Source organism: Homo sapiens, chromosome 6 (genome assembly GCF_000001405.40).
Source record: "Homo sapiens chromosome 6, GRCh38.p14 Primary Assembly".
NCBI lineage: Eukaryota > Metazoa > Chordata > Mammalia > Primates > Hominidae > Homo > Homo sapiens.
In genome coordinates, this window is record NC_000006.12 from 99,624,479 (window position 1) to 99,651,642 (window position 27,164).

Here is a 27,164-nt window from a genome sequence, read left to right on the forward strand (position 1 = left end):
AAGAACAGAAATTGATAACACAATGTGGTGGGTATAGTGATGGAGATGAACACAGAGGAAGGGTACCTTCTTAGAGAGAGAAGGGTGAGGGCAGGGAAGGAGTTATATAGGAAAAGGCCTCCTGGAGGATGCAACACCTGAGCTGAGTCTTAAACAAGATGGGTAAGAGTCATCTAGGTCATGGTTAAAAGGAGAAGGAAGGACATTTCCAAGAGACAGAATAGCATGAGCATAGTGAGTGGGGAAGCAGCACGAATGTATATGAGGAATTCCAGGCATTACAGTGTTGCTATGGGGCAGAATGGCAAACAGGCAGTATTGCTGAGAGATGAAGATCCACCTGTGAGGAAGTGTGATGCAGTGGTTAAGAGAGTATGTGGGCTTTGGAGTTCAGTAGAGCTGAGTTTGCATCCTGCCTCTGCATCTTTCTACCTGTGAGAACTTGGTGAAACTACTTAACCTCTATATGCTTCAGTTTACTCATCTGTAAAATGGGAACAACAATGGCATTGTATTTAAAACATTCTTATGAGGGGTAATTGAAGTAATGTTTGCAAACTGCTTAACTCAGGTAAACATTAAAAGCATGTTGGCCAATTGTTATTGAGAGACTGGAGAGTTGTGGGGGAGGGTGCAAGGGGATGAGGGGACATAAAGGGAGGGACTCTGGAAGGTTTAAGCTGGCACTAATGGCAGTTTTGCATTGCAAGAGGACTATTTTGGAGACAGGGAGACTAGTTAGAAGGCAGTTACATTCAGCATTTCAGGTGACAGATGATGAGGGATAGTGGTAATAGGGATGGAGAGGAGAGGATAGAGTTAAATATTTAGGAGGTAACGTTGATGGGATTTTGTCACTGTGTGGAGGAATGTGAGAGAGTAAGGAATCTAGCATATTAATGATAAGACAGTTATAACGTTCTCAGTAGTGTTGCACTGTGTTGATCACTGTTGGCAAATGCACTGTAGGTCAAGATGATCTTAGAAGTGTTTGGTTTTGTTGGGAAATAAAACCTTAAGAAATTAAAAGACCAATATATTTGAATATATAGACAACAAAAGCCTATATTATCTCTCCATACAAACAAAACAAAACTAAACTGAAATAATGATAACACAGCCTAAGAAAAATAATAGCTTTGTCAAGAATAGAAGATAATAGCAATATGTAAATAGTTCATTAAAATTTATGAGAAAGCATCATGATTCCAATAGATAAATAGCAAATGATAAGAATTAACCATTTTAATTATACTTTCAAATTCTGGCTCTCTAAGGTCAGCCAGCTAGGTTTCATGTTCAAATATCATTGTCAAGTACTTCCTGTGATTTTGTTTGAAAAAAAAAAATCCTGAGGCTGGGTGTGGTGGCTTACACCTGTAATCCTAGTACTTTGGGAGGCCGAAGCCGGTGGATCACTTGAGGTCAGGCGTCCAAGACCAGCCTGACCAACATGGTAAAACCGTGTCTCTACTAAAAATACAAAAACTAGCCAGGTATGGTGGCTTGTGTCTGTAGTCCCAGCTACTTGGGAGGCTGAGGCAGGAGAATCACTTGAACCTGGAGGCAGAAGTTGCAGTGAGCCGGGATCACACCATTGCATTCCAGCCTGGGTAACAGAGCGAGACTACCTCTCCAAAAAAAAAAAAAAAATCCTGAATAAGCTTAAAAAAAATTAACCAAGTTGCCAATAAACAAAGATGTAAACATCCTTATATATAAAAATTTGATAAAAATTTAAGAAAATGCTAGTAATGGTCTGAAATTGATACAAGCACATTTTGCTGATGTCATTAAAACCATTTGTCCAGCAACATATAAAGTTTTGCCAGGGACATATATATACATATATTTTTTGTTTGCTGTGAAATTATAGTACTATGCTCATGGAAGAAAATGTCCTTGAGGCACACTACCCTATTAAAGGATAGTATATCATAATGACTAAGATATACTTTAAAATATTTCAGCAAAGAAAAAACACTGTTCAAGGAAATAAGAGAGGACACAAACAAATGGAAGAACATTCCATGCTCATGGATAGGAACAATCAATATCGTGAAAATGGCCATACTGCCCAAAGTAATTTATAGATTCAATGCTATCCCCATCAAGCTATCATTGACTGTCTTCACAGAATTAGAAAAAAACTACTCTAAATTTCATATGGAACCAAAAAAGTGTCCTTTTAGCCAAGACAATCCTAAGCAAAAAGAACAAAGCTGGAGGCATCATGCTACCTGACTTCAAACTATACTACAAGGCTACAGTAACCAAAACAACATGGTACTGGTACCAAAACAGATATATAGACCAATGGAACAGAACAAAGACCTCAGAAATAATGCCGCTCATCTACAACCATTTGATATTTGACAAACCTGTCAAAAAAAAAGCGATGGAGAAAGGATTTCCTATTTAATAAATGGCTGAAACTGGATCCCTTCCTTACACCTTATACAAAAATTAATGCAAAATGGATTAAAGACTTAAATGTAAGACCTAAAACCATAAAAACCCTAGAAGAAAACCTAGGCAATACCATTTGGGACACAGGCATGTGCAGAGACTTCATAAGTAAAACACAAAAAGCGATGGCAAGAAAAGCCAAAATTGACAAATGGGTTGTAATTAAACTAAAGAGCTGCACAGCAAAAGAAACTATCATCAGAGTGAACAGGCAACCTACAGAATGGGAGAAAATTTTTTCAATCTATCCATCTGACAAAGGGCTAATATCCAGAATCTACAAAGAACTTAAACAAATTTACAAGAAAAAAAAGAAACAACCCCATCAAAAATTGGGCAAAGGATATGAACAGACACTTCTAAAAAAAAAAAGACATTTATGTGGTCAATAAACATATGAAAAAAAGCTCATCATCACTGGTTATTAGAGAAGTGCAAATCAAAACCACAATGACATACCATCTCATGCCAGGTAGAATGGCAATCATTAAAAAGTCAGGAAACAACAGATGCTGAAGAGGATGTGGAGAAATAGGAATGTTTTACACTGTTGGTGGGAGTCTAAATTAGTTCAACCATTGTGGAAGACAGTGTGGCGATTCCTCAAGGACCTAGAACCAGAAATACCATTTGAGCCAGCAATCCCATTACTGGGTATATACCCAAAAGATTATAAATCATTCTACTATAAAGACACATGCACATGTATGTTTATTGCAGCATTGTTCACAATAGCAAAGACTTGAAACCAACCCAAATCCCCTTCAGTGATAGACTGGATAAAGAAAATGTGGCACATAGACACCATGGAATACTATGCAGCCATAAAAAGGATGAGTTCATGCCCTTTGCAGGGACATGGATGAAGCTGGAAACCATAATTCTCAGCAAACTAACACAGGAACAGAAAACCAAACAACGCATATTCTCACTCCTAAGTGGGAGTTAAAAAATGAGAACACATGGACACAAGGAGGGGAATATTACACACTGGGGCCTGTCAGGGGGTGGGGGGCTAGGGGAGGGATAGCATTAGGAGAAATACCTAATGTAGATGACAGGTTGATGGGTGAAGCCAACCACCATGGCATGTGTATACCTATGTAACAAACCTGCATGTTCTGCAAATGTATCCCAGAACTTAAAGTATAATAATAAAAAAATGCAAAAAAAATTGTTAATAATTACTGAACACAGGTGACAAAACTAGACTTGCTAAAGTAAAAACAAAAAGAGCAATGTAGTGCGCATGAGAATATGCATGGTCTAGTACAACTACTTTCATTTTTGCATATTATTTTCCAGTCTTAATCTATACAAATACATATTCTTAACTGCAATCATAATAGACAATCATTTTTAGTCAGCTGTTCTTATTTAATATTTTCAGTTTTCCATTGTTTTGTCTACAAATTATTTTAAACAATACTTTATAATGTGCCATATTGATACTCCCTAAAACACACTACCTTAATTTTGAATACTTGAGTTGCTTCCTCCATTTTTTTGTGGTATGACTTAATGCTGCAGAGAAAAACAGTGTGAATATAGTTTTATGCTTTTGTTAAATTGTTTCACTAAAATCCTCAGAACTATAAGAATGGAACACAAATATGTACATATTTATGTTTTTATTATGGATTATATATTTATACATTTTTATTGTATCATATTTTTAAAATATATTTATATACTTTTATTATATAACCATAATATGTAATAAAATTATATAACTATAAATATGTACATTTTTGTGCTCCATTCTTATAGTTCTGAGGATTTATTTTAGTGAAACAATTTAACATAAGCATAAAGCTATATATACAAGGTTTTTCTTTGCAACATTAAATCATACAGCAAAAAAGCAGGGGAGCAACTCAAGTATTCAAAATTAAGGTAATGTTCTTTAGGGAGTATCAATATTATGGCACATTATAAAGTATTGTTAAAAATAATTATTAAGACAAAACAATGGAAAATTGAAAATATTAAATGAGAACAACTGACCAAAATGATTGTCTATTATGTTTGCAGTTACTTAAGCATATGTATTTGTATAGATTAAGACTGGAAAATAATATGCAAAACACGAAAGTAGTTGTACTAGACTATGCATATTCTCATGTGCACTACATTGCTCTTTTTGTTTTTACTTTAGTAAGTCTAGTTTTGTCACCTGTATTTAGTAATTATTAACATTTTTCTATTTTTCTTTGCTGAAGTATTTTCAAGTACATCTTAGTCATCATGATATATTACCCTTCAATAGTATAGTGTGCCTCAAGGACATTTTCTTCCATGACCATAGCACTATAATTTCACAGCAAACAAAATGAATAGTTTTTAATATGATCTACTACTCAGGCCACAATCAAATTTGTCCAATTTACATTTTCTTTCCAAAAATGGAATGATTTGATAAATCTGCCTTGTCCAGTGGGATTGTTTACTGCTGCGTAGAGTACTGCTGACTGGATCCCAGCCCCTGGTGCTATGGTGGTGAGTGTCCCCAGGCTGGTGGCTTGGGAGTGGTCAGCCATCCACCCTCTGGGCCTCTCAGCATGGAGCCCTAAGAGGAGGACAGCTGACTCCGAGATGGTCAGTTCCGTCTGAGAGTAGAGCTGCCTCTTTTCTTCTGCCCTCTGCTCCTGGGAGCTGGGGGCACAGGCTGAGACCCTTGGAGCCAGCTGGCAGTGAGGAGTGGGAAACCAGCCAGCAGGTCTGTGCTTGGGCTGAGTAACTTTGGAAAGTTGTCTTTGTCAAGTCAGTTGTGGAAGGTCCCAAGATTTCACACAACCCTCCCTACTCTGCCTGGTGCTCCTAAACACCTGGCTTTTTTTTTTTTTTTTTTTTTTTTTTTTTTTTGCCGATTTACCTTCTTTATGGTTTATACAAAGAACTGTCTCTTCTTTTGATTAGTTGGATCTTCCGTGTTAAATAAGGCTTTAAAAAGAATCTTCAATTGCAGGATGTGACTAATAAAGTTATCAAGTCTGTGTTGTAAAAACAAACAAGCAAAACCAAAGCAAAACAAAAGCTAACCTAAAAATATTTTAACATGAAAGTTTTCCAAAACTCACAAAAGCGGAAAAAATGGCACGATGAGCCTCCCAATGTTTTACCAGTCTTGTTTCATTTACTTTTGCTTAAGTATAAATTCCTAGAATTGTATCATTTCACCTGTTAATAGATTACACCTGACAAAAAATTGACAGTTATTCCCTGATATCATCTAATACCTAGTCCATGTTGAAATTTCTCAAGTTATCTAAAAAATGTCTTTTATAGTCGAATTTGTTTGAATTTCAGTCTGAATGAGGGACACTCATTTGCATTGATTCATGTTTCTAAAGTTTTTTTTTACATTTATAATGGCTCTCCTCCTTCGACCTCTCTTTTATTTGTTGAAGAAACCAGGTCATTTGTCCTTTAGAATTTCCATAATCTGAATCTGCCTCTCCACTTTGTTTATCATATTCCTCTACCCCTCATATTTTCTGTAAACTGGAGGTTACAACTAGATGATTGATTAGATTAAGATTTAGTTTCCCTTTTTTTGGAGGGACAAGAATACTTCATAGGTGGTGCTGCATACTTTATATAGTATCACTTTAGGAGGCATGTAATGTGTGTATGCTCCACTTTTAGAGATGATTAAGATTGATGTTGGATTCAGGTGTAATCATCATTGTTTCAACTAATGGTTTTGGCAGCCATTGATGAAACTTGCTTAGATCCATTCTTTCATTAGGGGTGCAAAATAGTGGTTTTCGAATTCTAATATTTCTCTGCATTCGTTATTTCTTTGTGTCATCTTTTAAACCTCAGGCCTCTGTGGCTAGTTGCATTACCCAGTTCACTCACACTTCCCCTAGAAATGGGCCATGGTTAAGTTGTTGGCACAGTTGGAAGCTGGCTTCTGTAATTTTCCCTTCTTCAGCTGTAAACTTTTGAGGTAATGACAATTTAGACAGTGTCAGATTTATGCCTTGGCATAGTTTTGACATCTGTGTAATATGATTTGAGAAAAGCTGAAAGGTTGGTCTATAAAAATATTTTCCTCTTCTCCAGCAATGGTGTTTGACACCCCAATACTGGTATTCTCCCTTAAGGGCCTTCAGCTGACTTGTGAATTGTAACCAGGGTAAGGTATGATGTTATCTGGAAGAAGGGATGGGAGGAGCAAAGACCAGCACATTAATGAACATATTAAAAGCAATTTAAAAAATGTGATTGTTAGCTGATTACTACCAGTTCACTCCACATGGTAAGGTCTGGAACACAACTGAATGTGTAGCTGAGAATGGAACATGGGTGTATTAGCTTGGATGAGGGAAGAGGGTTGCAATTGATACAGGTAATGTGCATACTTGGGGCTTGGTTCAGGTTTTTATGTAGTGATTTCCAAGAATGAGGACTGTTGAATGGGTAGAAAACAGAAAGAAAATGTTAAAAGATGTGGGAAAACAAATTACCTCCTTAATACTTTCATTGAGGACTCCTACTTAAGCTCTCAAAGTAGCACAGATAGGAAAAACAGGAATCAGTTTCCTATTCTTTTCTTTACTACTGTGTTGGTCGGGGAGCACAAAACAGTGCTACACTCTAAGTCCTAGTGGAGTTTTCATTAGAGATCAGCAGTCATAAAGAGCAAAATATTCAAAGGAGGAATTTAAGGAAGATGGAGGGCTTATAAGAGTATGAGGGAAATAGGAGGAATCACTTTTTAAAGGCAAAAGATGACAGATTGATCCCTTTTGACAAAGAAGAAAGTTCAGTTTGCTGTTTTACAGAAATAAACCATTTTCTCTTTTCACCTACTCAACAACCAGTTCTAATAAGGAAGTTTCAGTATTTTTATCTTTATGATAATTTCAGAAACAGTAGTCCATTTATTCCTAATAATGTTACTGAAAAATACCAGTAATTATATAATGACTGCAGAAATCACATTTTTAAGTAAATGAAGAGGGAAATGATTTTTTTCTTATTATATGTCCCCAATTTATATGTAATTACCAGGTATAAAAGAACCTTCCTGGTATGCTTAATAACTGCCTTTTGTCCTTGCATGAAAAGTCGAGGTTTTTTATTCAAGGTTTTGTTCTGCTCAGCTTTTTTCTGGCTGGTTGGGGAGATAGAGGCAGCTGTTTTATGACATGTCTCACAGGCCTTCCTCAGACCAGGAAGCGTATTGCTTTGGAAACCAGCTGGCCATGTTCTTCGCCTGTCAGACCCAATGCAAGCAAACAGAATTCAGGCAAACCAGTGGAAATCCGCCAGTACAGGGAGAAGAGGCTCTTGATCAAAAAACGTGATCACTTTAAGCCAACAATTTCTAATTACCTGCAACTCCTCCACTGGTAGATAATAACATATACTATATAGACATGTATGGTTTTTTCCCCCATTAACTTTGGCTTCATTGGTTATTTCCTCCTTTATGAAATATCCTTTGAAAACAAGGCAGAAAATTGAAGACAGAAAAAAAAAACCCCAAAAACGCAGAGCTTTCTTTTCCTATTTAGTGATGGGATCAGGTGGTTGTATGTCTGCTGTCTATACATTGCAAGAGAAATAATAAATAGAATAATACTTTTCCTCTTAACTAAAAAAAATTTTACTTTTTTCTCTTTTTATAAATTTATTATACACTCCAGTCTGGGCTACAGAGTGAGACCCTGTCTCAAAAAAAAAAAAAAAAAAACCTCAAATAAAAGAAGGAAAAAAATAAAATATATTATAGATCTATAGTTAGATTAGCTAACATTTTATTTTTGTATTTAGTATGTTCAAATCATATATTACAGCATCTTTATTAAATTCTAATATTTTAAAATATTTCACATGAAATAATGTTGATATATAGATAATAGACTATAATATCTTTGCAGATGTATGTAAGAATTACTTATAAAAATCATTACAAATTATAAAGTCTTATTTATTCATTTGCAGGTTATTTTTATTTATCAAATTAATGCCAGGTACTGTGCAGTTATTAGAGCTACAAAGACATGGATGGTCAAGAGATCACTTCGGCTACTGGGCGGGGAATGTATTGTGGAGTGAGACAAGAGTGGAGTCAGAAAGGCTATTGGAGAGGCTGTTAAGGAGTACCGTTTGTGAGAGGACCCAGGCAGGTAAACAAGGATTTTAGAAATACAAATTCAATGGGAGTGCAAAAGAAAAAGTGAATAACCAGTTTTCAACTTGATGATGCTGATTTATTATCAGAGTAAGATGAGAGAGGCTTTCATTTGTTCTCTGTGTGAGATGGCAAGATGGATGAATCCCAGAAATTCAGCATGCTTGTGCAGACAGTGCTTGGGAGCATGCCTACCTGATTCAGTGTGAAATGAATAGGTGACCAAGAAAGAGAATCTTAGCACTACTTGGTCTGTTGTGACCTTGGATACGTCGTGATATCACAGAGTCACCCTGGAGCTGGGGCAGGATTGGGTTTATAGGTGGGAAGATGAGGGGGGCTGATGAGGGTGCGGCAGGAGGGAGGCATGGACTGTTATTTCCCATGCTGTTACCTCTGCTTAGAATTTTTTTTTTCTCAGTGTGAAAGAAAGGTCTAGCTCAAATGTCATTTTTGGTGAAGGCTTCCCGGATTTTCCCTGCAGTAGTAATTATTCCCAATGTATTTTCTACATATGCATATTATAGTATTTATACCACATCTTAAATATTCATTTATGAAACTGTCATCTTTACTGAAATGTGAAAGTCTTCTAGGACTGAAACTATGTATTGTTTTTAATATCTACAGTGCCACTTACAGCAATAGGAATATAGTAAGTAATTAATATGTATCTGTTAAGTGAAATTAATGAATCAGTATGTGGTTGTTCTCACAAAGTTTTTTTCTAGTGGATGGTGACCTTTTTGTTTTGTTATTTCTGTAACAAATAATAATAATGGCAATTGATGTGCTAGATACTGTTCTATGCCCTTTGTACATTATTAACTACTTTGATCCTCATTATTAATCCTGTGAGTTAGGTAATACTATTATTCCCAATTTTACTGATGAGAAAAATTAGTAAGCTATAAATTTATATTTGTTTCCAATCTTCATTGTATTTATTCAGCCAACAATTTTGAGTGTCTGCTTTGTGCCAGGTACCATTTTAGGTGTTAGTGGTTGCAGAGGTGAACGAAGTCCCTTCCCTCCTGGAGCTTACATTCTAGTGGCAGAAGACAAACAGGAACAAATACGTATATAAGCAAAATACTTCAACTAAGTGTTATGAGGTGACGATTAAGCGATGTGACAGAAGGGACTGGGGAACTTCTATGAATCAGATGGTAGGAGGGGCCTTTCTGAGGATGTGACACTTAACATGAAGTCTGATTGACCAAAGGAGCCAGACATTGGATATCAAGGGGAGGTTCTCTGCGGCAAAGGGCAAAGCTAATGCAGCAATGCTTATGGCAGCAATGCTTATGGCAGCAATGAGTCTGGTGCTCCTAAGAGAGAATGACCAGTGTGAAGAGAAGAAAAGTAGTATGGGCTGAGGCACCTGAGGTAAGCAGAGGTGAGGAAAGTTACGGCTTGCTCTATAAGTCAAGGCAAGGGTAATGATTTTTGTTTTGAGTGTGGTGGGAAGCCATTAGAAGGCTTAAAGGAGGGTGGTGGTGTTTTAAGAAGATCACGTTGGCTGCTGGGTGGAGAAAGTGTTGTGGAATGAGGCAAGAGTAGAATCAGAAAGGCTGCAGTATTTGAAGGGAATGATGATGGTTGCAGTAGAGGTTGTAACCAGTGGTTGGATACTGGTGTATGTTTTGGAGACAGGGTCTTAAGCACCTGTAGATGGATTTCATGTAGAAGGAGAAGGAAAGAGATGAATCAGTGTTGATTTCTAGATTTTAGGCTTGCAAACTGGGTGGCTGGTGGTGGTGTTACTAAGATGAAAAAGGCTTGGGGATGAGCAGCTGGGGAAATGGGCAAACGGGCGCTCTGTGTGATTCGTGGTTTTTTCCTGAAGGGCTCAGCAACAGTTCAGAATTAAGAGAATGTAGGTGAATGGAATATTCTGCAGTTCAGTTTGCAAAGGGAGTTGAGGAGTTGACAACTTCGCAGTTGCACAGGAAAAGAGTTTACCAAAGTGGTGGAGAAGAAGAAAGAGTTCTGGTCCTGAAAGCCATGACGCATTTAAAGATTGCATTTACGTAAGGTGGGAAGAAGCTTGAAAGATGCGAGGGACTAAGACATGGGAATTTGAGATTTCAGATGTGAAACTTTTCTGGGTATTAATAAGGTCCAAGCTGTGATCATGGATATGGATTGCTGAAATGGAGCAGAGGTAAAATCTTTAGAGTTTAAAATGTTAAGAACATGTGGTATTGTAGAAAAAAGTTGTTTTTATTTTTTAAATGGAGATTGAAGTCCCAAAGAATAATGGAAGAAGCCAACGTAGAGGGAAGAAAGTAAGCAAGTGCCAAGATCATGAGAGGCAAGATTTGGAGGCTGGTAGATGACAATCATGAGAAGATTTAGAGGGTGGTACAGAGGCATGGCATGCTTTTCAAAGACTTGTTCCAAGTGGAGTTGCTTTGATACAGAGGGGTGTAGGATAATGTTGTTCCTAGATTCCTTGGTAGAGGAAAGGGATCGTTCTTCAATAGGAAGGGCCCCCAGGGTGCTGGGTCCTAGTAGGGTGGGAAGTCTAGGTTTCAGTTAATTCTACAAGTTCAGGGAACACTGTATTGAAGGTTTAGAGTATAGAGAAACTTGTTGATGAAAGAATATAGACCCAAATGGAAGAATAAAAGAGAGTAAGCTGTAGGAGCATAGCAGAAGACTGAGCCATGAAAGAGAGGTGGAAGGTGTTGGGGGAGGACTGCAGGGAGAGGTCAGAGCAATATGTGGGGAGGATGGACTGCCAGAGAGAACTGCATCAGGACAGTAATAAGAGCTCTACAATTCTGCATAAAATTAGAAAACTTTGGGTTAAAATTGTTTGTAACAACTTCGTAGGATTAAAATCCTAGTTTCATACTACAGAGTACTTATTAAGGTACCTCTCCAGTGTATTAGAGACAACATAGCCAACATATCTAACTTAACATTACCAGTAATGGGACAAACTGAGTTGTGTTCCCTGATGTGATGCACTTGTAAGGACCCATCAGCAACCATGGAGCACTGTGGTCAAAAATATTTAACCTGAATCTAATCATAAGCAACAGGCTAATTCAAACTGAGGGGCATTCTTTAAAAACAATTTGCCTAGATTCTTCCCAAATGTTAATGTTACCAAAGGACCAAAAAGCTGAAAAATAGTTTTAGATTAGAGGACATTAAGGAGAAAACAATTAAATCTAATATGTGATCCTTGATTGGATCCAGAATTGGAAACAAACAGAAAACAATAAAAAAATCCCCCAATTCCGACTATAAAGGATGTTATTAGGATGTATTAGTCTGTTTTCACACTGCTAATAAAGACAGACCCAAGACTGGGTAATTTATAAAAGAAAGAGGTTTTATGGACTCACAGTTTCACATGGCTGGAGAGGCCTCACAATTATGGCGGAAGGCAAAAGAGAAGCAAAGGCACATCTTACATGACAGCAGGCATGAGAGAGCTTGTGCAGAGGGAACTCCCATTTATAAAACCATCAGATCTCATGAGACTTATTCATTACTGTGAGAACAGTATGGGGTGGGGGAAACCACCCCCATGATTCAATTATCTCCATCTTGCCCTGCCCTTGACATGTGGGGATTATTACAATTCAAGGTGAGATTTGGGTGGGGACACAGCCACACCATATCATTCCACCCCAGCCCCTCCCAAATCTCATGTCCTCACATTTCAAAACCAATCATGCCTTCCCCCAAAGTCTTAATTCATCAGCATTAACTCAAAAGTCCATGGCCCAAAGTCTCATCTGAGACAAGGCAAGTTTCTTTCACTTATGAGCCTGTAAAATCAAAAGCAAGTTAGCTACTTCTTAGATACAATGGGGGCACAGGCATTGGGTAAATACACCCTTTCCAAATGGGAGAAATTGGCCAAAATCAAGGGGCTACAGGCCACATGCAAGTCCAAAATCCAATGGGGCAGTCAAATCTTTTTTTCTTTTTTTTCTTTTTTTTTGAGACAGAGTTTTGCTCTTGTTGCCCAGGCTGGAGTGCAATGGCGCAATCTCAGCTCACTGCAACCTCCATCTCTCAGGTTCAAGCGATTCTCCTGCCTCAGCCTCCCGAGTAGCTGGGATTACGGGCATGTGCCACCATGGAGCAGTCAAATCTTAAAGCTCCAAAATGATCTCCTTTGTTTCGATGTCTCACGTACAGGATGCAAGAGTTGGGCTCCCACAGCCTTGGGCAGCTCCACCCCTGTGGCTTTTCAGGGTACAGCCCTGCTCCTGGCTGTTTTCATGGGCTGGTGTTGAGTGTCTGTGGCTTTTCCAGGTGGATGGTGCAAGCAGTAGATCTACCATTCTGGGGTCTGGAAGATGGTGGAGGATGGTGGCCCTTTTCTCACAGCTCCACTAGGCAGTGCCCTAGTGGCCACTCTCTGTGGGGGGGCTCCAGCTCCACATTTTCCTTCCACACTGCCATAGTAGAGGTTCTTCATGAGGGCCACACCCCTGCAGCAAACTTCTGCCTAGACATCCAGGCACTTCCATACATCCTCTGAAATCTAGGCTGAGATTAAAAAACCTCAATTCTTGACTTCTGTGCACCTGCAGGACCAATACCACATGTAAGCTGCCAAGACTTAGGGTTTGTACCCTCTAAAGCATTGGGCCAAGCTGTACGTTGGCCCCTTTTAGCCATGGCTGGAGCTGAAGCATCTGGGACACAGGGCAACATATCCTGAGGCTGCATAGAGCAGGGGGACCCTGGGCCTGGCCCATGAAACCATTTTTACCCCCTAGGCCTCCAGGCCTGTGATGAGAGGGGCTGCCATGAAGGTCTGTGACATGCTCTGGAGACATTTTCCCCATTTTCTTAGCAATTAATATTTGGCTCCTTGTTGCTTATGAAAGTTTCTGCAGCTGGCTTGAATTTCTCCTTAGAAAATGGGTTTTTCTTTTCTGTCACATCATCAGGCTGCAAATTTTCTAACTTTTATGCTCTGCTTCCCTTTTAAACATAAGTTCCAATTTCAAACCACATTTTTGTGAATACATAAAACTGAATGCTTTCAACGGCACCCAAGTCATATTTGAATGCTTTGCTGCTTAGGAATTTCTTCTGCTAGATGCCCTAAATCATCTCTCTCAAGTTCAAAGTTCCACACATCTCTAGGTCAGGGGCAAAATGCTGCCAGTCTTTTTGCTAAAACGTAGCAAGATTCACCTTTATTCCAGTTCCCAGCAAGTTCCTCATCTTCATCTGAGACCACCTCACCCTGGACTTCATTGTCCAGATTGTGACAGGAAGTCCAGTAATTGGACTTAATATCACTATTAGCATGTTGGTCAAAGCCATTTAACAAGTCTCTAGGAAGTTCCAAACTTTCCCACATCTTCCTGTCCTCTTTTGAGCCCTCCAGACTGTTCCAACCTCTGCCTATTACCCAGTTCCAAAGTCGCTTCCACATTATTGGATATCATTACAGTAGCACCCCACTCCTGGTACCAATTTACTGTATTAGTCTGTTCTCATGTTGCTAATAAAGACATACCTGAGACTGGGTAATTTATAAAGGAAAGAGATTTAATGGACTCATAGTTCCACATGGTGAGGAAGGCCTTACAATCATGGCAGAAGGCAAAGGAGAAGCAAAGGCACATCTTACATGGTGGCAGGCAAGAGAGAGCTTGTGCAGGGGAACTCCCATTTATAAAACCATCAGATATCATGAGACTTATTCATTACCATGAGAACAGTATGGGAGAATTGCCCCCATGATTCAATTATCTCCAACTGTCCCTGCCCTTGACATGTGGGGATTATTACAATTCAAGGTGAGATTTGGGTGGGGACACAGCCAAACTGTATCACAGGACAATTAGGGAAATCTGAATATGGCTTATATATAAGATATATATAATATATAGACAATAATAGTGTTGGATCAATGTTCAACTACCCCAGTATGATAATTGTATTAAGGTTATAAAGAAGAATGCTTTTTTCTTACTAGATGCATGCTAAATTATTGAGAAATGAAGTATTATAATGTATTCAACTGACTCTCCAGTAATTCAGCAATATCTATATATCTGTAATATCAATATCAGTATCTATACAATATATTAATGTCTATTTCTCTTTATATTTAGAGAGCAAGAAAGCAAATCTTCAAATTTACCAACATAAGTTTCAAGATGTGATCAAAGTAGAAAAAAATTTCAATAATTACATTAAGCAAACACATTATTAAATAATTTAATCAATTTAGTAATTATTAAATTATTATTAAATAAAATTATTTTAAGAGCTACATTAAAACCAATCACAGAGCAGTATTAATTTTTGAGGATTATTATTGTCTATTTCCAGCCGAATAATGAATCATCAGGACTAATGATATTAATACCATAACATGCCTTATTTTACATCATGGAAGTCATCCAAATGGGCTGTGTGACAGATAGAGAAGTAAATATACTTTATTATTTATGCAAATAAGTACTATTTGCTCATGCCAAAATACTGCCTTTATTAAAGAGGATAAAATAACTTCTTTAGATGGACTTTTTAAAAATTTCTTCCATATATCTATATCCTTCATGATGTCTTGGGTAGGAGTCTACAGGCAATATAGTGGAATTAAGGCCATAGGATGCACTACCTTGGCTCCTCACTTCCTTCTAGCCTTGAAAAGTGGAACAGTCACTAATTTACAAAATGTATGCTCTGTTCTTACTCTTAACAAGAGGGAGGGAGAGAGTCCCACAGGCAGCTCATGTAAGTTCTAGCTAAAAGGAGAATGCAGGTGGGAGCAGTATAAACAGGTGCCTCAAAAGTTGTCTCTTTCTGGGCAGTGTTGTTGTTATAGGTGCCCATCCATCTTGTACCAAGAGTACTACCCTGAGTACTAGATTACCAATTGTAGCTCAGGGGGCTGCATGCAGTTTTTTTCCCTTTAATTTTAAGACGCTCTCCCCACTTAGTGGAAAAGATGCATTTTTGAGATGCATTTTGTCTTTGAGATAGAATCTGCCCCCACGACCCAAACACCTCCCACCAGGACCCACTCCAGCATTTTGGATTACAAGTCATCATGAGATTGGGGTAGGGACAAATATCCAAACTGTATCAGATCCCATGTGTCCCTAATTTCTTTTCTGTGTTAGAAAGCAGTTTACTAATTTAGCTGTGCTGTGAAAAATCCCTGAGAGGTTGTAGCAGTTTTACTGCTCCACGCCATCTGCATATCTCATCAGATCACACTACATAATCTCTTTGGGAAAAAGGATGATGGGGCAAGACCAAAAGGGCCAGGCTAAAAGATAAAGCCACCAAATAACTTTACAGGGATGTCAGTTCAGCACACACATAGGAGCATCAGGCAATGGAAGTGACATTCCAAACAACATGTCTTTTTCCTCTCCACACATTAAAAATGCTTCTATTAATTGAAAGCAGATAAAAGGTGAAATAATACAATGCACAGTAACTCATGTTAAAGCTTGCAGGTAAAAGACTGAATTCTTGTGTGAAATAAATGGCTTTCCACTTAATAAACTGGAGTTGTTCCAAGGACATCTTTTCATTTACAGAGCAGGTGCAGATGAAGTTTTGAGAAAATTGTACAGTATTTTTAAAAATAAAACATTTAATTAACAAGCTTGAAAACAGTGGAGCACTTGAAGTGAAAAACAATTGTTTTATATCAAACAGTGCAAATCCAATTTGTGAATGCAACTGTATTGAAAAGCTTGAAAATATTAATGAATTGCTATGGGCTTTAAAAAAGAAGTTTTAATTTTCTTTCAAGGTTTTCCCTTGAGACAAGTTCTAAGTCAGAAAAGATGTTCAAATGAATGCAAAAAAAGTATATTCTATTTGAAGGTCCAAATGCTTATCTAAAAGAAACAAAGATGAAAAGGGTAGAATATTTATAAGCACTAAAAAATAAACCAAATTCAATCACATCTCTATATGTGGATCTTTTTGTTAAGGTGGTTTGGAATTGCAGTTTCTATCATGACTGTTTACTAACTTGTTCTTAGGATTTAAACACAACAAATTTTGAAAAATAATGTAATATTAAAGATACATGCTGTTTCACAAGGGATTAAGCCATAAGGGATTTATGAAAGGATATATTAAAAAAAAGAATCTTGAGAAAGATACTGTTTCAAGATAAGACAACTTTGGTCAAAGGCTTAAATTTCTTTACATTAAATTTTCTCTAGAGTAATCCTTCCTGATTCCAGCGTTTTATAGCAAAAGATCTGGTAACAGCACATGCTGTCAGTCATACCAAATATTGCTCCAGGCCACAGTATTTGCTGGGCTCTCAGGTAATAGCTTCTTTAGTGACTTTGGTCAGGAACCCTGAGCCACATGACAGGTTTAGGTGTCCTGTAAGGCAAGCTGATAAATCCTCGTGATGACAGCCAGGTCTTTTGGCAGAGTGTTGAGAACTGACAGGCCACCAGTGCTCCTTTCCTTTGTGTCTTCTGTTTGGAAAAATGCAACAAATAAAAATCACTAAAGAGCTTCTGGTAAAGTCAGCCTGCACTGTGGGGACTTAATGAGATTAAAGAAAAACTTGATTTATTTCTCTTTCTTGACAAGGGCTTGTTTCCCAGAAGTAATCCTGAAGCCACTAGAAGAAAATTAAATGTACCCAGGATGATGTTCTCCAAGGTACTCACAGAAAAAGTCAGAACAGTGCTCACCATCTACAGAATCCTGGTTATTCTTTAGTCTACAACCTTTCTAATAGCTATTTTCCCCATATCTTCATATTATCAAATAGGTTAAAAACAGATAATTGTTGAATAAGAGTGATGCTCTAATTTTCCTTTTATAAAAATGAAAGAATCTTGATGCCATATGCTTAATTTTTCATGTCTTAAATTTTTATACCTGGACTCTTAGTGTATTAATTTTTGTTTAGAAAGAGAAAACAAATAACCAAAGCGGGAAAAACAAGGCAATGAATAGAAAATAGAAACACTAACCAGCTTACTACAAAGCACATTGGCCTTCCGTGTTATTAAATTACATTAGTTAATGCTCACACTTAAAAAGTGCTCAGTTTTCTTAAATGTGTGCTGCTATTACTGCTTTAAATAAATTCCTCATTAAGCTGCTCAGTTTCTCTTCCCTTGTGTTTCAGGTGGGTTTAATTTTTTTTTTTCTAGACTAGTCAAGTGCAGTAGTGAGAAAGGGGGAAAGAGTAGAACAAGGAGTTTGATCTGTAACTGACTGTGAACAATTAGTTGAGATAACACTGTCTTCGAACCAGCTGCATTTTTTTGTTTCTCTATCATTTTGCCTTCTGATACCTTGCTTCTTTTCATTCAGACCATTTGCTTAATTATTTAACCTTCTTAATTCTTACCCTCTTCCACTCTTCTCAATCAGCCTTTCATCTTTTTAGGTGTCCTATCATATCTTAATCTTTCTTACTGAACTTTTATTGGTGAAACTGTTATATATTAACTGAAGCCACAGAGATTAAAGATAATTTCTACTTCCTTAAAAACCACAATATTTATTTTTTATTTTGTTATATCATCAGAGGTAATGCAATACAAATATTACCAGTTTATGGTTTCATGTAGTATTTTTAAGTTCTTGCTAGAATGTTATTTGCCATGTAGAAGAACCAGAGGCTTTTAGAAATTGTAGCAACTCTTAACCAGAAATTAGAGGAGAGACTTTATAAACTAGTCTCCTGATAGACCCCACATCAGCAGGACTTTTACTAATGTTAGAGAATATAATGGAGGTTTGCCTGTGACATCTGGCAGAACTTTCATTCCTAGGGTTGATTTGGCTAAATCATTCCAGGCTAAGGGCGCCATTGAAAAGGACAATATTTAAAGATAGAGGAAAGAAGCATTTTGATCAAACACATGTATAGGGGAATGTTGGAAAAGAATTTTGACAGGAATAATAGAAAATCATAGTAAATATATGTAACGTTGACAAAATTACTTAACCTCCTTATGCTCCAATTTCCTTACCTACAAAATTGGAAAGGTAATAGTAATATTTGTCTCGTAAGATTATTGTGATAATTAAATGAGTTGTTATATATTAGTGAAATATTTAGGTAAGTGGAACTTATTGTTAAATGTTAAAATAATGACAAGTTCCACCATCATACCTTTCTTTGTGGCTGAGTTACAATACATATGTATATCTTCTCCAAAGAAGACATGCAAATGGCCAACAGATGTATAAAAAATTAGTAATCATCAGAGAAATGCAAATTAAAATCACAGTGTAAGATATTACTTTACACTGTTTAGAATGACTTATCAAAAAGACAAAAGATAGGCCAGGCATGGTGGCTCATGCCTGTAATCCCAGCACTTTGGGAGGCTGAGGCAGGCAGATTACTTGAGGTCAGGAGTTTGAGACCAGCCTGGCCAACATTGTGAAACCCTGTCTCTACTAAAAATACAAAAATTAGTCAGGTGTGGTGGTACATGCCTGTGACCCAGTTGCTTGGGAGGCTGAGACAGGAGAATCACTGGAACCTGGGAGGTGGAGGTTGCGGTGAATCAAGATCATGCCACTGCACTCTAGCCTGGGTAACAGAATGAGACTCTCTCTCAAAAAAAAAAAAAAAAAAAAGACAAAAGATAAATATTGGAGAAGATGTGGAGAAAGGAAACCCCTACACACTGTTGGTGGGACTGCAAATTAGTATAGCCATTATGGAAAACAGTACAGAGGTTCCTAAAAAAATTAAAAATAGAATTATCATTTGATCTAGAAATCCCACTACTGAGTATATAGTCAAAGGAAATGAAATCAGTATGTTGAAGAGATATCTTCAGTTCCATGCTTATTGCAGAACTATTTACAATAGCCAAGATTTGGAAGCAACCTAAGCTTCCAACAATGGATAAATGGGTAAAGAAAATGTGGTATAAATACTTAACGAAATATGATTCAGCCTTAACAAGAAGAAAATCCTGTCATTTGTGACAACATGGATGAGCCTGGAGGATATTACATTAAGTGAAATAAGCCAGGTGCAGAAACACAAATACTAGGGGCTCTCACTTATATGTGGAATTTAAAAAGTTGAATTCATAGAATGATGGTTACCAGGGGCTGTGTGGAGGAGGGATTGCAGAAATGTTGGTCAAAGGATACACAATTTCAGTTAGGAGGAATCAAGAGATCTATTGTACAGTATGTGATTATAGTATATAACAGTGTATTGTATTCTTGAGAATTGCTAAGGGTAGATTTTTAAATGTTCTCACCATAAAAATTGATATGTGAGGTAATGTATATGTTAATTAGCTCAATTTAGCCATTCTATAGTGTATGCATATTTCAAAAGAACATGTTGTGCATGATAAATTTATACAAAAAGAGTTATAATACATAAATAACAGTGATACCCTCAGACACCTATGAAATAGGTGAAAATATATACTCATGCTTTAAATGACTCTAGGTCATTGTGGTTTCTTGATTTTATTCGACTCTCTTCAGTTGTAGATGTCATTTTTTGTTGCTGTTAGTCGGTATTCTCTTCCTGCTTCTGATATACTGCTGTATGTTGCATTCATTCACTCTATAGACCAACACCATCTAATAGCCAAATATGTAATTTATAATTTCCAGTAGTCACATTAAACAAAGTAAAGAGAAATAGGTGAAATTATCTTTAATAATATATTTTATATAACACAATGTATCCAAAATGCTATCATTTCAACAGGTAATCAATATACAAATATTAATGATGTATTTTATATTATTTTTTAAATTCCAAGTCTTTGAAATCTGGTGTGTATTTAACTTTTGCAACACAACTCAATTGGAATGCTAAATTTTTGATAGATATGTGCTATTTATTTAGATTTCATAAAATTTACAGTTGAAAAAGTGGATTCATGTACCCAAATTGTTTTGAGACTATTTAAAAGTTTCTCAACAAGTGAATTGAATAGCAGTGTATTAGTCCATTTTTATACTGCTATGAAAAAATACCCAACACTGGGTAATTTATAAAGAACATGAGGTTTAATGGACTCCCAGTTCCACAAAGCTGGGGAGGCCTCACAATCACAATCATGGTGGAAGGTGAAGGTGGAGCAAAGGCACGTTTTATGTGGTGGCAGGAAAGAGAACGTGTGCAGGGAAACTACCCATTATAAAACCATCAGATCTTGTAAGATTTATTCATTATCACCAGAATAGCATGGGAAAAAACCGCCCCCATGATTCAATTACCTCCCATAAAGTCCCTCCCATGACACATGGGGATTATGGGAGCTACAATTCATGATGAGATTTGGGTGGGAACAGCCAAACAATAGCAAGCAGTTTTTAAATTAAAATTAAATTAAAATAAAACAAAATAAAAATTCAGATCCTTAGTCTCACTGGCCACATTTCAAGTGCTCAGTAGCCACATGTGGTATGGCTGTCACACTGGTAAATACTTCTTACTGAATACCTATGATGTATAAAAAGGCCTTAGGTAGAGATAAGTTAAAGACATACTGCCCCTCCCCTCTTCAAGAATGGAGGAGTTGAGAGAGGTACAAAATATAGCAATGGTGTGAGAGTAGTTATTTGTCTCTTCCTATAGACTAATGTGACTTTATGTCTAAAAGACCTCTTTTTGTGATTCATTTTGAGTTAGTGTCTATAACTGAGATCACTGAGGTTGCTGACAGTCTGACTTCTCCATAGGTGAGGCATTATTTTGTATTTGTCACATATTAGGGTTGTGCATGATTGTTGTAATGCTTTTCATGATCAAATAAAGCACTTTGCATTTAAACTGTGGCTTTGATCAAATAGCTCCATATTTCCCCATGTGGAATCAGATTTTCTAATGTTAAAATGTACACCTTTCTCAATTATTCGAGCTCCCTGTCCATATTATTGTTAACCTCAGATTTCTGTCTCATTTCATCCCTTCAAGTAACTAGCTTTTTCTCATTATTTTCTGCTTATTGAGCCCAATGTTGCACAGAAAAGTTGATTTGTTAATTAGTTTAATCGCCCCTTCTCATAATGGCAGGGTAAGATTGGCGGAGGAAGCTTGTTATCAGTCTGTGCTACTGGTAAGCAGTAATTACAGATAATGATGCTTTTGTCTTGCGGCATTCTGAAGATTGTCTTGAACTCCCCCTCGTTGAATTAGCAAATGGACTGTCATGTTGAATTCTCCTCTGGTTTCTTCCCCCAACTCGTCCTCTACCCGCCACCAATGAAACAAAATTACAGCTTGTTAGGTGGAAGCTCATTTGAAGTCTCAATTTTCTTGAGTATTCAGCTCTCATGGGGAAGTGCCAGGTGCTCAGTCATGGCCACAGCACTTGCCTTTGGCTTAAGATTCCTACTCAACTGGCATCCTACAAATCTTTGATTTTTCTTTTGCTTGAAGAGGCAGTGGTTGTCTTGACAGCAGAGTTAAAGCTCTGTCCTTGTACTTTGATGCGCATTGTGGTACAATCTAATAATCAAAGTCATTTGTCAAGAAATAGGGTGTTCACACTTTTCTCTGAAGAGATTGGAATAAACAACAGATTTTATGTGGATGTAAGCCAGAAAGGGCAGTCACTACCACTTTAAAAATGTGCCTGAAAAGTATAGCCCAGAGTAGGTTTTAACTAAGACTGTATCTTTATATCAGGAGTTCTCAACCTGGGACAATTTTTATTCCCAGGAGATGTTTGGCAATGTCTGGTGACATTTGTGGTTTTCATGACTGATGAGGGGAGGGATAGCTGGCATCTAGTAAGTAGAGGTCAGGGATGCTGCTTAACATCCTACAATGCACAGGACAGTCCTCCACAATAAAGAATTATCTGACTCACAGATGGCAATAGTGCTGAGGCTGAGAAACTCTACCTCATATGATTATGAAGGGAGCCCTGTGGTATATTTGATTCCCACTCCCAGCAGTCAATTATTTATATGATTTGGGGGAATAATTGATTGAGTAGGAAAATTGGAATAAATTGCTAAGGGGATGAATTTTCCATGTCCTGCTGTGGGGACTCCTATGGATAATAGATAAGGAATAAAAATAGAGATTAAAAACCCTTGTCCTCATAATTACAGCAGAAACTTATTTTTTACTGTTGCATGAGTGTAATAGAAGCAATATGCTAAACTCTGACATGTTTCTGAATTACTGACAAATTCTCTAACAGAACCACATTCTTTTACCAGCAGGGAGAAATTACATGGTCCATGAATGTTATAATCACATGTATTTTAGCCAAAGCCTGCTTGCTTCTTTCATATCTTGAGGTTAGACTCCATTTTTAGAAAATCCTGATGTTGTAGTCTTGACACCAAACCCAGTCTTCTCAGAGCAACTTGGTGCGGCTCAGACATTAATTTATCTAATCAAAGTAGAGTTTGTTTGAATAGACACAATTTCTAGTAGTCTTAGACTGAGATGGATCTAGAGTTTAAGCTAGGATCACCTTGAAGCTGACAGTCCATTCTTTCTAGTATGTTTTGGATAGCATGCCCTAAATACCAATTTATTCTTGACACAGCCTGGCATGTGAAAATGGGGTGACATATTTTAACATATTTATATCTCCATAGGTCAAGAAGAGAACAATGATAACTCTATAAAGAAGACATTTCTAACATTTAGAAGTCTCTCTCAAAAATGGTGAATTTTCTTTCTCTCACTGGGAATTTTTTGGTAGAGGCCGTATGACCACATACAGATATTATTGCATTGAGTTGAAAATTGGTTTTGACGATTTCTGAGGTCCTTTGTAATTCTGAGTTTCTCTGATTTAATGATTCTGCAAATTTACCCTTAAGAACCTACAATTTTGCAGCCTCTCCATCCCCAATTCCCCATTCTTCCATGTGCATTTCTGAATACTCATTATCGTCTCTGTAATCCCCCAAAAGAAACCACTACTGGCATCTTTTCTGTACCTTGCACATGCCATGCTTTTTCAGTCTCCCACTCCTGGAATGTCTTCTGCTTTTCCTTCAAGGTTTAGCTCCAACACTACCTTTCATGAAGTCCTTTCCTATTGCTCTACCCTAAAATGTTTGCCTCCTTTTCTTATTTCTCTCACATTTGTCATCTGGGTTATATTCATAGGGGGTTATAATCACAGGGAATGTGTCCATGTTTTCATAAATGCACCAGCAGAAGACAAATGGATTTCTATTGCAATTTATCTGTTTCTATGTTTACTTCTTATTCAGGAGTCCTTTATCTCTTCATAATTAGTGACATTAAGACCATTTAGCACTTGGTTATATGTTGCCTTTCTTATTTTCTTGCCTCTTCAACTAGACTAAGTTTTTGGAGTCATACATTTGTGTTGGTTCTTCTGTGTGTCTTTTACAGTGCTGAGGTTGTAGTAAGAAGGTAATAAAACACTGCTAAATTAAATGAAAGACAGTGGAACCAAGTAGCTCCACATGGTAAGCATGATATGCCAGTGATTCCACAGAATAGGGTTTTCTGCTAGAATAGTATATGCCAGGCTGCTTTTCAGATGGTCTGTTCCTTTGTATGAATAATTCTGGGGAAAGTCATGTTTTAGTTTTCTTTTTCATTGTCTTCTAAGAGCAGAATAGGAGCAATAGAGAGAGAAGAATAGAAATGGCTTAGAAAGAAAAGAACAGGGCTGCCATTTTTTTCTGAATTATAGCAACTTCCCCTTACTATTTCTTTCGAAAAAATATATAACAATTTCAAAATGTCAGCCTCTACCTCATTTTTCTTGCCTCTGTCTTTTGATATTTTCAGAGCTAGAACAAATGATGCCTCAGTTTTATGCTGAATCTTAAGCACTGGAGCCTGTTCTTTGAGAGACAAGGGATGTGTGTCAACATTGGTCCCAGAATCTTCTGCAGCTTAGAACTAGGTTACTTTCCTGGATTTTGGATTCGGTGACTGTTTTGCTATCTTCATTCTTTCTTTCAGAGTCAACTTCAGCTGATCTCACAAGGAACTTGGTGTCCCAGGCATAACCCTTGAATGCCAATATTGCCTACTAGGTGAACCTCTCTCCTACCCAGTTTTGATCATGTTTTCTGATAAGTATCATAGTTTCCCATGTAGAATGGGAATCATAGTTTCCCTTGCCCAGGCTGGAGTGCAATGGCGTGATCTCTGCTCACCGCAACCTCCACCTCTCGGATTCAAGCAATTCTCCTGGCTCAGCCTCTCGAGTAGCTGGGATTACAGGCATGTGCCACCACACCTGGCTAATTTTGTATTTTTAGTAGAGATGGGGTTTCTCCATGTTGATCAGGCTGGTCTAGAACTCCCAACCGCAGGTGATCAGCCTGCCCTGGCCTTCCAAAGTGCTGGGATTACAGGTGTGAGCCACTGCGCCTGGCCATTATTAAGTTTTATAGGCAGAGAAGAAAGTTAGTCCTGTGTAAATACAATAGCAATTAAGAATAAATAACAATTAAGCTTCTTTTTTTATTTATTTATTTTTTCTACTTTAATTTTTTTTTTTTTAATTGATCATTCTTGGGTGTTTCTCGCAGAGGGGGATTTGGCAGGGTCATAGGACAATAGTGGAGGGAAGGTCAGCAGATAAACAAGTGAACAAAGGTCTCTGGTTTTCCTAGGCAGAGGACCCTGCGGCCTTCCGCAGTGTTTGTGTCCCTGGGTACTTGAGATTAGGGAGTGGTGATGACTCTTAACGAGCATGCTGCCTTCAAGCATCTGTTTAACAAAGCACATCTTGCACTGCCCTTAATCCATTTAACCCTGAGTGGACACAGCACATGTTTCAGAGAGCACAGGGTTGGGGGTAAGGTCATAGATCAACAGGATCCCAAGGCAGAAGAATTTTTCTTAGTACAGAACAAAATGAAAAGTCTCCCATGTCTACTTCTTTCTACACAGACACAGCAACCATCCGATTTCTCAATCTTTTCCCCACCTTTCCCCCTTTTCTATTCCACTAAACGGCCATTGTCATCATGGCCCGGTCTCAATGAGCTGTTGGGTACACCTCCCAGACGGGGTGGTGGCCGGGCAGAGGGGCTCCTCACTTCCCAGAAGGGGCGGCCGGGCAGAGGCGCCCCCCACCTCCCGGACGGGGCGGCTGGCCGGGCGGAGGCTCCCCCAACCTCCCTCCCGGACGGGGCGGCTGGCCGGGCGGGGGCTGACCCCCCACCTCCCTCCCGGACGGGGCGGCTGGCCGGGCGGGGGCTGACCCCCACCTCCCTCCCGGACGGGGCGGCTGCCGGGCGGAGACGCTCCTCACTTCCCAGACGGGGTGGCTGCCGGGCGGAGGGGCTCCTCACTTCTCAGACGGGGCGGCCGCCGGGCAGAGGGGCTCCTCACTTCTCAGATGGGGTGGCCGGGCAGAGACGCTCCTCACATCCCAGACGGGGCAGCGGGGCAGAGGCTCTCCCCACATCTCAGACGATGGGCGGCCGGGCAGAGACACTCCTCACTTCCTAGATGGGATGGCGGCCGGGAAGAGGCACTCCTCACTTCCCAGACTGGGCGGCCGGGCAGAGGGGCTCCTCACATCCCAGACGATGGGCGGCCAGGCAGAGAGGCTCCTCACTTCCCAGACGGGGTGGCGGCCGGGCAGAGGCTGCAATCTCAGCACTTTGGGAGGCCAAGGCAGGCGGCTGGGAGGTGGAGGTTGTAGCGAGCCGAGATCACGCCACTGCACTCCAGTCTGGGCACCATTGAGCACTGAGTGGACGAGACTCCGTCTGCAATCCTGGCACCTCGGGAGGCCGAGGCTGGCGGATCACTCACGGTTAGGTGCTGGAGACCAGCCCGGCCAACACAGTGAAACCCTGTCTCCACCAAAAAAAATACGAAAACCAGTCAGGCGTGGCGGCACGTGCCTGCAATCACAGGCACTCGGCAGGCTGAGGCAGGAGAATCAGGCAGGGAGGTTGCAGTGAGCCGAGATGGCAGCAGTACAGTCCAGCTTCGGCTGGGCATCAGAGGGAGACCGTGGAAAGAGAGGGAGAGGGAGACCGTGGGGAGAGGGGGAGGGGGAGGGGGAGGGGGAGCCAATTAAGCTTCTTACGTGAAAGTAACTTCTGTGTACTTCTGTGTTAAACAATATACATATTCATAGACTAGTAATCTATACTTAGGTATAGAAAATAAGAGTCAACCTTACAGCAAAAATGCAAGAAAAAAAACCTCTCAAAGTCAACTTAATGCCTCGAAGAAGACCAGACGCTCTCTTTGGTTTTGATCCCTTTGTTGCTCTGATATAGAAATGAAGTACCAAACACTAAATATTTCTCTTTCAGCAGGTCCTAAAACTAAGAGTTTCTCTGTGTAGGTAATTTTAGCACCCTAAATATTGACCTCTTAATCTTTCAATTTACATTCATCTAGCACTTTCTGTTGGTGGTGTCTACTCTATGCCAGCCCCTCCTCCTTCTTCTAGAACCCTCATAGGTTTACTATTGACCTAGAATTTTTTTCTTTCCTCTTGAGAAAGGGCCATGTTTTTTTCTTTGTGAATCTTTATATGTGAAAATTAAAACACATAACTAATATTTACTGACAGATTAGAACAGTAGTTTTCCATGGATAATGATTTCTATGGACAAGCATGTGTTA

At 38.7% G+C, this 27,164-nt stretch overlaps 1 annotated feature.

Annotated features, from left to right (window-relative positions):
• Positions 24,975-25,595: an enhancer, noted in NCBI's record as "NANOG-H3K27ac-H3K4me1 hESC enhancer chr6:100097329-100097949 (GRCh37/hg19 assembly coordinates)". NCBI's record gives its function as "activates a minimal SCP1, AML or CMV promoter by ChIP-STARR-seq in naive H9 embryonic stem cells {active_cell/tissue: H9 hESC(naive)}" and the evidence as "EXISTENCE:reporter gene assay evidence [ECO:0000049][PMID:30033119]".